This window comes from Homo sapiens, chromosome 4 (assembly GCF_000001405.40).
Source record: "Homo sapiens chromosome 4, GRCh38.p14 Primary Assembly".
NCBI lineage: Eukaryota > Metazoa > Chordata > Mammalia > Primates > Hominidae > Homo > Homo sapiens.
In genome coordinates, this window is record NC_000004.12 from 49,232,289 (window position 1) to 49,248,580 (window position 16,292).

The 16,292-nt window shown below is 40.6% G+C and overlaps 4 pseudogenes; 2 read left to right on the forward strand and 2 right to left on the reverse strand.

The window, feature by feature from the left end:
* SNX18P23 (sorting nexin 18 pseudogene 23) lies at positions 627-1,671 on the reverse strand (annotated as a pseudogene).
* Positions 6,910-12,196, reverse strand: LOC124900699 (ankyrin repeat domain-containing protein 18A-like; annotated as a pseudogene).
* On the forward strand, positions 13,733-14,250 carry MTCO3P39 (MT-CO3 pseudogene 39; annotated as a pseudogene).
* Positions 14,313-14,627, forward strand: MTND3P22 (MT-ND3 pseudogene 22; annotated as a pseudogene).

Here is a 16,292-nt window from a genome sequence, read left to right on the forward strand (position 1 = left end):
AGCTTTCCATATCAAAAATAAAGACATTTTCCAGAAAGCTTATTTCTCTCTGAGACCTCCTCAGTCTGGTCTTCATTGTCCATGTTTCTGTCAGGATTTTTGTCACAACAATTGAGCCAGACTCTAAGATGGTCCAAAAGTTTTCTCATCTATCTGTCTTCTTTTGAGCCTTCCAAACTCTTCCAACCTCCGTCCATTACCGGGTTCCAAAGCTGCTTCCACATTTCCAGGTATCTTTATAGCAGTGCTCCAGTCCTCATTTGCCATTTTCTGTATGATTTATTTTGAAAAATAGGTTTAATTGTCTCATGGTTCTAAGCACAGTGCTTCTGCTTCTAGGAGGCCTCAGAAATCTTTCAATAATCATGGAAGGCAAAGAAAGAATTAGTTGTCTCACATGGCAAGGGGAAAACACGGAGAGTAGGGAGGTGACATAGAGTTTTCAGTGACCAGACCTCATGAGAAGTCACTCATTATTGTGAGGACGGTACAAGGGGATGGTGCTGAACCATTCATGAGAAATTTGCCTTCATAATTCAATTACCTTACTCCAGGATCCACCTTCCACATTAGGAAATATAATTCAACATGAGATTCGGAGGAGACACATATTCAAATTGCATCATCAATCTTTGAATATAAAGACATCCACAGTAGGCTTTATCCAGCCAACTTCTTTGAGAATCTTTATAGGGTTTGAGGTCTAGAGCATATACACTAAAATATTCATTCTTCAAAAAGCAATAAAGTGGTATTATCATTTTTCCAAAAGTTACAGCAGTAGTTTAGGCATTCATAGCATGATTTAGTTCACATTTGCTACTGTTTCTATTCTATCACCACATTAACTGTTTCCTATACAATTCTGTATTCAGCTGGATTTCAGTTGAGCACAAAACCATCCTTGTACTAGCTCTTTGCTAGTGTTATTATTCTGCTGTAGAAAGTATCCTTGAACTGGAAACAGTCCACGATTGAGTATTGAGTCATTCAACACTATCAATTCCTCAGTGACTTTTTGAAAAAGTAGTATCTCTTGTTGCAAGAAATGCTGCATCTGTGAGTCCATGTCTCTCACTGGAATTGGATGGAAGTGGTGAATTTCAGCCAAAGTAGCCAAAGAAATCCTGTTCCTGTGATTCTGACATCATCAGCCTCTGCACCTCTGTATTCCCTTCTGCCACATGTTGCCTGCTCTCCGTGACTTTGGTAAGAGCTTCCTTGTGTATCTGGATGATGTCCAAGATGTTGGTCTTGTGTCCCTGAGACAGCACTAACAGGCCCATGGCTGGGTCGGGGTCCTGCCTGGACTGATTGGCAAAGAGCTCACTGACAATGTGGAAGATGCTCTTTCTTAAAGCCTGTCACCACTCATTGGCTGTGAAGTTGACCTGAGAGCCCTGTTGTCCATCTTCTTGGTGAAGCACTTGAAGCCGTCAATCTTGCTCTCCCACTCCTAAAGGTTGAGTGTCACTCTGAGGGAGGGCTCAGGGCCAGGAAGAATCTGGCACTCACCATCTCATCCTTCTCAGCCTTCCTCTTGCCCTGTCTCCAGGCTGTCTCTTCAGTGCTGGTGGGGTACATCAGGAAGTGACAAAAAATGTGGCACTGTGCCTGCACCCAGACGCTGGTTGTGTGGTTCATCTACCAGATTGGGCCCTTTCTGCACTTGAACACAGATCCACTTCACCATAGATGCATTCCACACTGTCAATGAGCTCTTTGCCAATCAGCCCAGGCAGGACCTGGACCCAGTCATGGACCTGTTAGTGCTGTCTCAGGGACACCAGGCCAACATTCTGGACATCATCTACATACCCAAGGAAGCTCTTACCAGAGTCATCCTCCAGATGGCCTGTGTTCTGCCTCTTGGCACCTGAGAAGCCCACAGTGCTGTAGAAGCCCCTATGCATGGACTGGAGCCCCAAAGGTGGCACACACCCCGCTCCTGAGCCTGCTGCTCCTTTCCTCTATGTGGCTCCATTTGCAGCACATTTGTTGCACTGAGTCCTATTCATCCCAGGCAAAGCCAAGCTGGCTCAAAGAGCAACCAGCCACCTCTGCAAGGGTGTGCCAAGAGCTGATAGACCAGCCACCAACGTCACTCCCTGCCAGCCAGGGTAAATCAGTTACTCTGCCCTGGAGGTAGAGCCCCAGTGCCATCTGCTTTTCCTCAGGCCTCCACTCCATCAGCTGTCAGGTGGTGGTCATTCAGACTGTGGGAACCTGGCCATCCCTGTTTCCTTGAGTGGGTGAGGTTGGTGACTGCTCCACCTGCTCCTGGCACACCCTTGCAGAGGTAGCTGGTTGCTCTTTGAGCCAGCTTGTCCTTGCCTGGCATGCACAGGCCCCAGGTACTGAGAAGTTGCTCCGAGTAAGCTTGTCTTGGGCCAAATTCTAAGTCTGGCCAGGGCCACAGAAGGCCGAGTCCCCTGGGTGGTAATCCTGGCTGCTGCAGGGAACCCATGGTGCCCCTCCCCTCCCAGGGCTCAGGATGAGGTCCGACTGGGACAGGATGCTTTAGGTATGGGACTTGTGCCCCAGGAGGGGGCCTCTGTCACACAGGTTGGGTGAGAAGATGTATGCCATGCTGCTGGCTGCTGGCTGCCGGCTGCCAGGGCTTTTGGGATGCACGTTCACCCTTCCTTTCAGGGACCTCAAAGTGACCAGCTTCCCTTTTAAGAATGACTTCCCAAGGCCCAGGAGCCATCTGGGGCTGCAGAGCTGCATGCTGCCCTGGCTTCTTCCATGTTGTGCTGGTCACTACCCACCAAGGGGGATCAGATGCAGGCACGATGCAGGACGGTAGTCTCTGGACCTGTGTCTTGGTTATCATGGAGCTGGACTGGGCCTGGTGACAGGGCCCTGATGGGGTTGTCCTGGGTGGTCAGGGGGGTGATGAGAAAAATGCAGAATGGAATTGCTGTGAGGATGAATGAGACGACTGTCAGCACAAAACAGGCACCCGGTGAGTGTTCAGGGATTACCCTCAGTAGCTGCCCAGAGGCCAAAACCACCCACCTGATAGTGACTGTCCCCAAGCCAGGAGGAAGTGAGGAGAGCAGGTCCCACTCACCTGAGTCTGATCAGTGAGCTGTGTTGAGATGTGTCTGTCATCTAGAAAATGGTCCTTCATGCAGAGCTACTCACAGACACTGCTGTGTGTCTCTAACTTCTCCACAACACAGAGGCGATGGGGACTCAGGAAGAGTGATGTTGTGGGTTGACAACCCACCACAACGGGAGCCTGCTTGGGTCAACAGGGCTCAGAGTCAGTGTCCTCTATCCCCTGAACTGACATGTGTATATACAATGTGTTTGTGTACGCATGTGTGCCTGTGTGTGTGTGCGCGTGTATGTGTGTGTTTGTCTTGCTTCTCTGGACAGGCCTAGCTTCTCCACCCATGGGTGCACCCAGGTCCTCATCACTGTCACCTTAGAGCATTAGAGCCTCTATAGGTGCTCCCCAATCTCTGCCCTCCCCACCCATGGTGGTCCTGGGGATGTAGACAGAAGAGAGGCACTGCATACTGCTGAGAGGGCTGGCACCCTCTCTAGGTGGAACACAGGTCATTTGTAAAGTTGTAGGTTTGTCAAGCAGTATTGGATTCAACACATCTTCTCACCTTCTCTTTCCAGCCACCCTCTAGGGTGCCCTGACTCACCTTCCCTGCAGATGGAGGCAAGGAGGTGACAGAGAAAAGCCCCCTGCCTAAGGTCCAATAGTGGCCAGCAGGCCACGTACTGACGAATCATCCCTGACCAGGTTCCCAGTGATGAGTGATGAGGCCCCTAATGACCACTCCTCCATTGACCAGGTCCCACTGATCAAGTCCCCGCTGACCATGTCTTCCTAACCAGGCCCACACTTAATAGGCCTCATGGACCAGACCCCACTGACCAATTTTCCACTGACCTGGTCCCCACTGACAAGACCGGGTTCCCACTGACAAGACCACAATTTACCAGGTTGCTGCTGACCCGACCCCCCACTAAACAATTCTCCATGGATGAGTCCCTAGCTGACCGAGCCCCCTCTGACCAGGCCCTCATTGACCAGGTTCCAAGCCACTAAGGCCCCACACTGACCAGGCCTCTGGTATACTGTATATGCCTCACCAACCAGTTTTTCATTGTTTATGTTCCAACTGATCAGGCCCCACTAATAAGGCCACCACTGACTAGGTCCCCCCACTGACCAGGCTTCCAATGATTAGGTCACCAGGTCCCCACTGATGAGGCCTTTACTGAGGAGGCCGCCACTAACCAGGCCCCTGCTGATCAGGTCCCACATGACTAGGTCCTGATGACCAGGTCATCTCTGACCATGGTCCACTGACCAGGCCCTTGAGCAACGGGGCTCAAAGTCTCATTACAATGTCCCCCTCAGCTCATAGACCCTCCCTCCCTGCATGTGTGCCCAGAGGTCAGGCCCTGGGGGTTTTTTTGAGACATGGCCTTTCCTCCAAGACACAGGGAGAGACAGTTGGCCTCAGGCTCCAGGTTCCCAGCTCCACACTCACACCAAAGGCCCTCTGGGCCGTCTCAAAGGAGAAAGTGAGGTGGCCTGACACTGCCTGGACACACCATCTACCCTATTCCTGAGTGTCAGAGTGTGAGGAAGGGAGGGACGTTTGGCAGATGAGACACACTGTGCTGTTGGGTCTCCCAGGGCCCTTCCCATATAGCCCCGATCTAAAGACACAACACAGAGGCTACAGGAAGACTAATCCAGAACCTCTGAGGCTCAGCCAGGGACCACATGAGGACTCTCTCCAGACAGCCAGAAGGCTCTTTGCTAGTTTCCTGGTACCTCAGTGGATGTGGCAGCGGTTCTTCTGTTGGGGACCAGTGAGTACACACTGGGGAGGGCTCACCTGTGCTTCCTCATTGGCTCCACCTCTGCTTCTAAAAAAAATTACTCATTCCAGAGCTGGGGCAGAGAAAATACAAGATGAGCTTAGAACATCTTCTGCCAGAAATTAAAAAAGTGCTGACAGAGTAACGGAGACAAATCAAAGAGACATAAAGTCAGCTTGGAATGTCTACTACTGGCCTAATCTTGGGGAATTGAAGCATCAGAATCAAGAGCTTTCCTTCTCCCTTATTTATTGGTTTTATTTCTCCATGTAGAACAAAGAAGACAATAGGAAAATAATCATCTGGCATCCATCAAAGTAATAATTGTTCAAACACAAGTCATCATGAAATGCTAAATCTAGTGGGTTCTGAGGAGTAACAAGATATTTACAGAGCCTCAAAGTATCTCCATACAAAATACGGTTGAACTACAAAAAGAAAATCATAACATTAGCATGGACAAACCTGGCAGGTACTCCTTAAGTCTCCTAAGTAATAAAAACTGTAAAATGCAAATAAGACTTTGATGACCTTTACTAACCTTTACTAAAGTATCAATGATGACTTGGTTGTTTAAACAGCTGACATTTGGGCAATTTGAGTATGTCAAACTCAATAATACTGGTTTTCATTTGCAAGATCCACTTAAAACTTAAGGAGGCTAAAAAACATCATTTAAAATACCCTATAAATTATCATCATATATATCATACAAAAATATCCTACTTCAGTAAATATTGTAATGTTATACATTTTATGAGAAACAACTAAAATGTGTAAATAGCCCAGTAATAAAGTTTTATAATCTTTTAAATCATACAATTTTTCTTTAAGACTTTATGGTTAAATATTCTCTTCGTTAGATGTGGCTTACCCGTGGATTCTAGAGAAGAAAGTAGATGGGAGCAAGTGTCCGACACAGCAGCAGCTGGAAAGAAAAATAAAGAATTATGTTCTTTACCTAAAACACTTCAGTTGACTAAGTGTGCGTTTAAAAACTAAAGAGTTGATAACTTTATCAGAGTTAATAAGAATGAGAAATATGTATGTGCATTTACAATACAAAATTACTATTTAATAGTTTACACATGGCATTAATTCTAATTGTGTTTAAATATCAGAGTTTTTCATTCTTCATTCATGTAATCAACAGCCACATGCTAAGGTACTAGAACCAGCACTGGAATTACAAGATGAAGATGGCATGGTCCACCTCCCAACAGTCATATGCTATAACCTAAAAAAAAACAGACAGGCAGGCAATGTCCATATAGAGTCAAAGATACCATGACAGGTATAGAGCAGGGCACTACTGGAACACATAGAAGGGACATCTACCCACTTTTATGTCAATATCATGGGCTTTCTGGTGGAGGAGATAACATAGGTTGATACCTGAAGGGCAAGAAAAAGCTTCCCAGATAGAGGGAAGAGGGGAAGGCAAAGAGCCAGAGGTGAGGAAGAGCCCTGCAGAGTTCCACTCCATCCAGTTTGGTGCTAGAGCAAAGGGCAGAGTGCAGTAAGTGGCGAGAGACAAGGCTGAGTAACTTGACGAGAATTACTTTGATATGGGTGTTTTTATTTCATGGTGAAAAATTTGGAACTTTTCCTGAGAACAAGTGTAAGCCAATGACACAGTAATTGACAGGAGATTTAAAATGTCACCTGTCAAGTGACTGCTTATGAAGGGTTATTGCTCAGCTAAGTATTTCTTAATGAGTCTTAGGTCTGTTGGCCTTCAATCTCTACCGAAACCCTGAGAACTTGATGATGCTTTTGTTTTCTGAGAATCGTTTCAGTGTGCTGGCTGACAGTTCCATGAGGATGGCAAAACTTAAGAAAGTGTAGAGCCAGTGAAAAAGAGATGCACAGACTTCTTGGGAACTGTTTAAGCTTTGGAACATGATGAATTTATGGTGTATAAGTACAGTCTTCTCTGTGAAAGTTTCTGTTTTCACATCTTTCATTAGATGTGTGTAAGAAAAAAAATATTGATGTAGTATCTACTAACCCAAGAATGAAAAGGAATGCCATTTGCTATTTACACTTTATTTCTAAAATAAACCTAAATTTAATTAATAAATTTTGGCAACGTACTTCTCTTTGTTTCTCTAATTATTTGTTCTACACAGTCCGGCTCCATCTAAAATAAGTAAAAATAATAATAATGTTTAAGTTAAACAAGAAACATTATCATAAAAATAAGACATCACTTACAAAATGTGGCCTTTAGTATTTTTAGTGACTAGACATAACTTGAAGTTTGCTTAAATAGAAAAATAATCACATAAATAAAGTAAAATTTCTACTTATTTTAAGATTAGATAACAGAGGATGTATATGTGTAATGCTGTTTAGAGTAATCTGACAAAAATGCAGTTAATATTGATCTATTGCATATACATGATTTTAGAAAGGTAGTGTTTTATTAGTACAAAGGTTAAACAATGGCCAGGCATGGTGGCTCATACCTGTAATCCCAGCACTTGGGGAGGCCAAAGCAGGCCGATCACAAGTCAGGAGATCGTGACCATCCTGGCCAACATGGGGAAACCCCATCTCTACTAAAAATACAAAAATTAGCTGGGCGTGGTGATGCGCACCTGTAGTCCCAGCTACTTGGGATACTAAGGCAGGAGAATTGCTTGAAGCCAGGAGGTGGAGGCTGCAGTGAGCCAAGACTGCACCACTGCACTCCAGCCTGGTAACAGAGTGAGACCCTGTCTCAAAAAAAAAAAAAAAAAAATAAGTAATTAAAGCCATCTTTTGCAATGAATGGATTGCTTTGAAATTCTTAGAAAACTCTGCCCTTTATGAAAGTTTAACCCATTTTTTACTTCAATAAATTTTATCTTAAAAAGAAATTTCTGTTCTCTACTTATAGTAAACTTTTCTCTTTTTTTTTTCTAGTTTGTATTCTAAATTAACGTGGTACCTCTGTAGGTTTCTTTCAAAGGCATATTTAGGGATGCCGAGGTTTGCAGCACAATTGAACTCATCACACAGGTAGTGAGCATAGGACCCAAGAAGTAGTTTTTCAACCCTGGCCCACTCTGTCCCTCCCCGTTCTTATTTTCCAGTGTCTATTATTCCCGTGTTTATGACAATGTGCACCCCATGTGTAGCTCCCACGTGAGTGAAAACATGAGATATTTGGTTTCTGTTTCTGTGTTGGTTTGCTTAGGAGAGTGGATTCCAGCTGTATGCTTGTTGCTGCAAACGATGTGATTTTGTTCTTTTTATGGCTGCATAGTATTCCATGGTATATATGGAATTTTCCAATCTACCTTGGATTTTCAACGTACCTTGGATGCACCTGGATTGACTCCACGTCTTTGTTATTGTGAATAGTGCTGCAGTGAACATACATGTGTATGCATCTTCTTGTTACAATGATTTATTATCCTTCTGGTATACCTCTAGTGTAGTAATGGGGTTGCTGTATCCAACAGTCTTTCTTACTTCTTAATTTCCAAACTGCTCTCCAGAATAGCTGAATTAATTAACTTTGCCACAAACAGTGTGTGTTCACTTTTCTCCACAGCCTCCCCAACATCTTTTTTAATTTTTTTATTTATTATTTTTTTTTAACAAAAGTCATTCTGACTGGTGTGAAATGGTATCTCACTGATGTTTTGTTTGTCATTTTTATGATAATTAGCAACGGCAAGCATTTGTTAATGTTTGTTTGGCCACTACAAGTGTTATTTTGAGAACTATCTGTTCATGTCCTTTGCCCATTTTTCATGGTGTTATTTATTTTTTGCTTGTTGATTTGTTTAGGTCTCTTATGGATTCTGGATAATAGGATAATAGGCGTTTGCTATATCCATAGTTTGTGAATATTTTCTTCCATTCTTTAGTCTGTCTGTTTAATCCCGTGATAGTTTCTCATGCTGTGCAGAAGCTATTTAGCTAAATTAGATCACACTTGTCAATTTTTGTTATTCTTGCAATTGCTTTTGAGGACTTAGCCATAAATTAATTGACAAATATGATGTCTAAAGGAGAATTTCCTAGATTTTCTTCCAGGATTTTTATAGTCAGAAGATGTACTTTTATGTAAGAAAAGCACAAACATTTTATTTTTATTTTTATTTTTTTTGAGATGGAGTCTCCATCACCCAGGCTATAGTGCAGTGGTATGATCTTGGCTTACTGCAACCTCTGTCTCCTGGGTTCAAGTGATTCTCCTGCCTCAGCCTCCTGAGTATCTGAGATTACACATGCCTGCCAACACCCCTTGCTAACTTTTGTATGTTTACTGGAGACAGGTTTCATCATGTTGGCCAGGCTGTTCTCAAACTCCTGACCTCAAGTGATTCACCTGCCTCGGCCTCCCCAAATTTTGGGATTACAAGTGTGAGCCACCGTGCCTGGCCAAGCACAAAGCTTTTAACATAAAAATGGAACTGAATATTTTAGTGTTTTGTTTAATTAATAAAATGCAATTATTTTGGATTCTACTAAATAATAAACATCCATATGTGGTAAACTGTTTGGATGCCAATCATTCAGTTGTGATTATGGGTGGGAAGAATTGAGATGGTGCAAATAAACTTTTTTTTAAATTTTTTATTTTCAAGACGGAATCTTGCCCTGTCACCCAGGCTGGAGTGCAGTGGTGCAATCTCAGCTCCTGCAACCTCCATCTCCCAGGTTCAAGCAATTCTCTGCCTCAGCCTTCCTAGTAGCTGGGATTACAGGTGCCCACCACCACACCAGACTAATTTTTTTTGTACTTTTAGTAGAGATGGAGTTTCACCATCTTGGACAGGCTGATCTTGAACTCCTGACCTCGTGATACATCTGCCTCAGCCTCCCAAAGTGTTGGGATTACAGGCATGAGCCACAGCACCTGGCCAGTGCAAAGAAACTTTAAAAGTGACATGGGCCGGGTGCGGTGGCTCATGCCTGTAATACCAACACTTTGAGAGGCTGAGGCAGGCAGATCACAAGGTCAGGAGTTCAAGAAGAGCCTGGCCAATATGGTGAAACCCTGTCTCTACTAAAAATACAAACATTAGCTGGGTGTAATGGTGGGTGCTTGTAGTCTCAGCTACTCAGGAGGCTGAGGCAGGAGAATCACTTGAACCCAGGAGGTGGAGGTTGCAGTGAGTGGAGATGGCACCAAGACACCCCAGCCTGGGCGACAGAGTGAGACACTGCCTCAAAAAAAAGAAAAAAAAAGTGGTATGAACCACACCTAACTACAGTCAATTAGAGAGTAAGCCAAAGCATCTCAAAGTATATCATCAGTTATCAGGCAACAACATGTAATTTCTAAAACCTAACTTAAATGCAGATTTAAAAACATTTTAAATGTGTCAGTTTAGTCACATTTATTGAATAAAGTTAGCAAATGGATATCTCTTGAAAATGAGGGCTCCAGGGAATTAAAAAATGTAAAATTCCCATTTCCTTTCTGTGTTAACACAGCTAATTATGATCTTTACTTCACATGAAAAAGTCAACAGAACAACTCAGTATTTCACCAAATTATAAACAAGAATTACGCTAGAGAAATGAAACCCTAAAGAGAAACGGTCATATAACTAACCTCAGTCAAGTAGTTCTGGCAGTTATTTGAAGTCTGACGGTTTGAAGTAGGAATTCTTATGGGCATTTGGGGAATATATTTTCTGTTGAGTCCTATACTAGTAAGATTTTCAACACAAGGTGACTCTCGACCTTGCCTTGTAGGAAGAGTGCTGAGAAAATATTTCACCTGCTCTTTCTCCATAAGGAGCTTGGTGCTGATCATTGCTATTTTCTTATTCGATCTGTAAAGATAACAAAGACAAATGCTTAGTATTTCATATTTCCTTAAATGATTCTTAATGCCTTGCAGTCATTACATTTAAAGTGTTGCCCTGAGAGTAAACCAAATTACCCACTAAATAGTGTTTTCACACCGAAGATGTGTAAGAGCATACCTGTTGTAAGGAATTATAATTTTAAAATCATTCTAAAGAAGCACCTTTGTTTCTAAGGTGATTTACACTGAACAAGCAGTTCAAACAAAGTAGACAGGGAAGAGAAATGGCTATCAGTGGTGTATGGCTCAACAGGCAAAATTTGCTGCCTTCTAAAATGGCTCTACTTGTAAGATTCTGAAGATTCCATTAGAAATACTTGTATTTAAAGGGCAATAATGTGGGAAAATGAATATGTTGATTTGCTTGATTATAAGAACCACTTCACTAGAAATAATTATATCAAAACATCATGTTGTATTCCTTAATGTAGTTTAAGAAAACTAAAATGAATTAAAAAAATCTAGGAGTACTTGTGTTTAGTAAACCAGTTTTAGATTTCACCCTTGTACATTTCACCCATTATCTAGAACCAATTAAACATTTGGCACTGAAGAATAATTCAGAGCAACAACTCCTAGGGGAGAACTAGATTGTCTGGTTGGTGATCAAAAAGAACTAAAGCATCTCTGAAGGCAATTAGCCCCCAACACTGTGACCAAGGCCCAGGAGGTGGGGCATGTTCTTTCTGCCTTCCAAACACTCCTTCTGGCTGAACAAGGTGTTATTTTTTAACCGCTTTGTGAATTACACTTCTTTAAATTCCTGTGATAATTATTCCTTATTTCACAAGGATGCCTTTCTGTAACATCTTGAATATGTTACACAAATAGTCTTTCTTGAGGCACCCTCTGATGATAATACTAAAGATCACAATCAAAAACGATTGTGCCCAAAGTAACAGTACCACTTTTCATTTAGGTTGTGATCCACTGAAAAAGAAATTAAACTCATTAATATTTCTATTTAGGGAAATTCTGACAAGTAATTTTATAACAGGATCACTTCATTAATTATAAAGCTTCAAAAATACATAGTGAAAAAAACTAACAGATCAGTTTAATTACATGAGACTTTTCAGGGGAAAAAGCCATACAAAAACAAACAAAAAAAAATGAGAGGAGAGACAAAAACTATCTTTGACTAACATTAAAAGGTAAGATTATTTACTAACATTGTTTTTCAAAATTACATTGTCAAATTAACATTCACTTCCTACTAATATCCTGAAGCCATCTCACTAAAAATTATGCTTTTGAAACAAATTAATGAGCTTAATTCATTCTCTGAGTGTATGTTTTGACTTACTTCGTTAATTTTTTTGACATGGAATTGTTAGCTTTCAATGCTGCTGCAAAGGCTTCCTTATATTCTTCTAACTCAGTTGTAACCTCTTCATAAGCAGTTTACATTTTGTAGAATTCACATTCCACATCTTTAAGTGTGAGTTCCTTCTTATTTAGTGAAGCCGTATTATCCTTGTTTAACTGGTCTAATTGTTTTTTATATTGTGCTTGTAACTAAAACAAAGGAAAATAATACACTTTTAAAACAATAACATAATTATTATATGTTTGTTGCCTTTCATTTTGAGTCAGTGATTCAAAGAGCATTTCTGAATATGTTAAAAAAGAGGCTGAAGCTTAAAATATTTCAGCAATATCAAAACTAATAACTGAATTCAGAATTAAGTCTGATTTATAAAAATTTGAAATCATAATTATGTTAGTATTAATGTAATCTGGTCATATAAAAAGTAATAGAATCCATTCATAATTTGAAAAAGTGATCAATGAACAATGTAGCTTAACACCAATTCAAAAGTATCACATAATTTCTAAATCACAATTTTTTCCTATGCCAACTGGTCTTAATCATCAAATGACTCCATAATGAGAATCATTACTCTGAAAGATTGATTTTCTCATAATAATAATGGAAATTTAAATATTTAAAAGAAAAAACAGATGCCATTTTTTTCTACAACTCTACAAAGCAGATTGCTACAAGAGAGGCAGAGGAAACACTATATATATATATATATATATATATATATATATATATATATATATATATATATATATATATATATAAAATCTCCAAAATATAATTTGCAGTGAAATAAATGAAAGCACATTACAGGTAAACTTACCTGATTTAAACAAGTAACCTGTAAATGGATTTCCTTTAATTTTTCTACTGCCTGCATTGCCCTTTCATCTAGCTCTGATTTATATTCTTGTAGTTCACTAAGTTCTACGATAATGTTTTCCATATGTGTCTTGAGATTTAATATTTCTTCTTCCAACATCTTTTGATTCTCCTCAAGTTTTTCACATTCTTGTTGTACTTTTTTCATAGATAATAACTCCTGTTGGATAACTTGATTGTCTTTAGCCAAATTGACACATTTTGAAGATACAGCTTCCTCCTCTGCCGTAAGATCATCAAACTGCATAAATAAAATAGTATAGCTTGATAATGAAGTAGGCTGAGAATAATCTAATACAAAACCAATAGCAAATTTTAAAATGCATTTACATGCAATAAAATGTTATCAGTAATGCATCAGATTCTTCAAATGTGAACCCTTAAATTACTCAGAATTTTAAGAACAATGTTAAAGCTACCATGAGTCATAAAAATATATTCTTTACTATCATCATCTTTGCCACAGAACTTTTGTACTTCATCTTACTTTTATTTTTCTGATAATTTATTTTTGTTCCTCCTTAAATGGCACAAAGTTATCTCCTAGTAAAAAGTGTCTAATCCCCTTCCCTCATTATCATTCCCCACAATATGTAAAAAAAAGTTTCAGAGATATCATATTGAGTTATTTAGGCCAAAGTCAATACATGGCTCTAGGAATAAGACTTTGAAATTAATATTACACTCTATACTAGGCATGGTGGCTCATGACGGTAATCCCATCACTTTAAAAAGCAGTGGCAGAAAGATCACTTGAGGCCAGGAATTTGAGATCAGCCAGAGCAACATAGTGAGACCCACATCTCTAGAAAAAAAAAATTTTAAAATTACCCGGGCATGGTGGCTCAGAAATATTCCTCTTCGCTGGATTCTTTTGAGCATTCTACCATTCTAGCCTAGCCCCTACTCCAGAATTAGGAGGGCATTGACCCCCAACAGGTATTTCTCCCCTTGACCCCCTGGAAGTACCTCTCCTGAATCCATCTGTATTACTTGCATCAGGAGTTTCAATTACTTGAGCCCATCACAGCCTAACAAAAAATAATCAAAAACATACAATCCAAGCACTACTTGTTACAATTATATTAGATATTTACTTCACCCTCCTACAAGTCTCAGAATACTTCAAAGCTCTCTTTGCTATTTCTGATGGTATTTATGGCTCAACATTTTTTTATAGCTACAGGCTTTCACAGAATTCACGTCATTATTGGATCAACATTCCTCAGTCTGCCTTCTCCGCCAATTAAAATACCACTTTACATCTAGTCATCACTTTGCCTTTGAAGCCGCTGCCTGATATCGACACTTTGTAGATGTAGTATGACTATTCTTGTATGTTTCTATTTATTGATGAGGATCTTACTCTTTTAGTATAAATAGTACCATGATTTCCAAAGTTTTGATAGCATCCGAAAAACAGTAATTCACCTAACATTAACCCTAGTAATCAACACCCTATTAGCCCTGTTACTAATAATTATTACATTTTGGCTCCCACAACTTAATATATATATGTAGAGAGAGAGAAAAATATATATATATATGTATAAAATAAATATATATATATGTATAAAATAAATATATATAGAAAAATCTAGCCCTTATGAATGCAGATTTGACCCTCTATCCTCTGCCCACATTCCCTTCTCCATAAAATTCTTTCTAGTAGCCATCACATTTCCCCTATTTGAGTTAGAACTCGCCCTACTACTACCCTTACTGTGAGCCCTTCAAACAATCTGATACTAATAATCCCTGCGATATGTGTAGTGACTTCATACTTCACCCCCCCCCCGGATATTACGGCCAATATCAGAGTGGAGTGTGCACCCCCTGCAATATGGGGAGTGATATCATCCTCTCCCCACTGGATGTTATGGACAATATCACAGGAGGTTTACTTTCTCTGGGTTATGGGGAAAAATATCCTCCTGTCCCCGCCTGGATGTTAGACATATTTAGAGGGGGGTGTCCACCCCCTGTGATATGGGGAGTAGTAATATCCTCTCCTGCCCTGGATGTTATGGACAATATATAGGGAGATATACAATCCCTTCGATATGGGGAGTAATATCATCCTCTTCCCCCTAAACGTTACGAACAGTATCACAGGGGGGTGTACACCCCCTGCAATATCTGGAGTAGTATCATCCCCTTCTTCCCTAAATGTTACAGAGACTATCACAGGGGTGTGTACACCTTCTGAAACATGGGAATAATATTCTCTTCCCCTCTGGATGTTATTATGGACAACATTACAGCCGTGTGCACCCTCTATGATATGCAGAGTAATATCATCCTCTCCCCCCCGGATGTAAGTGACAATACCACAAACGGGTTTACATCCCCCGTGATATGGGGAGTAATATCATCCTCTTTCCCACTGGATATTAACAATATCACTTGGGGTGTACAACCCCTGTGATATTCTGGATAATATCTTCTAATCCACTGAAAATTATAAACAATATCACCAGTGTACACTCCCTGTGATATTGGAAGTAATATCATCCTCTAATCCCCTAAAAATTATGAACAGTATCACAGGGGAGTGTATACTTCCTACTATATTGGGAGTAATATCATCCTGTCGTCTTCTAAATATTATGAACAATATTACAGGGGATGTAACACTCCCTGCGATATGTGGAGTAATATCATCCTCTCCTTCCCTAAATATTGTGAACAATATCACAGGAGGTTGTACACAATCTGCGATATTGTTTGTAGTATCCAGTGGGAAAGAGGATGCTATTACTCCCCATATCACAGGGGGTGTACACCCCCACTGTGATATATTCAATAACATCCAGAAGTAATATTACTGACAAAATTGCAGGGGGTGTAAACCCCACCTGTGATAACGTTCCTAATATCCCTGGGAAGAGAGGATGATATTATTCCCAATATTGCAGGGAGTGTACACCCACCCTATGATATTGTTATTAATACCCAGGAGGGGAGACAATGGTATTACTCACAGTATCAAAGAGGTTGTACAGCCCCCCTGTGATAGTTTCTAATATCCAGGGGGTGTATACCACCCTTGTGATATTGTTTCTAATATGTAGGGGGAAGGACAATGATATTACTGTCCGTATCACAGGGTGTGTACAACAAGCCCCCCGGGATATCATTCCTAATATCCATGGGAAGAAAGAATATTATAATATCACAGAAGTTGTACACCCCCTCTGTGATATTGTTCCTAATATCAAAGACAGAAGGGTATGATGTTCTTCCCAAAATCACAGGAAGTGTATACACACCCTGTGCTATTTTTCCTAATATCGAGAGTGAGAGACAATGATACTTCCAATATCGTAAGGAGTGTACACTCTCCCCGTGATACCAGGTGGGGAAATGTTGATATTACTCCAAATGTCACAGTGGGTGTACACA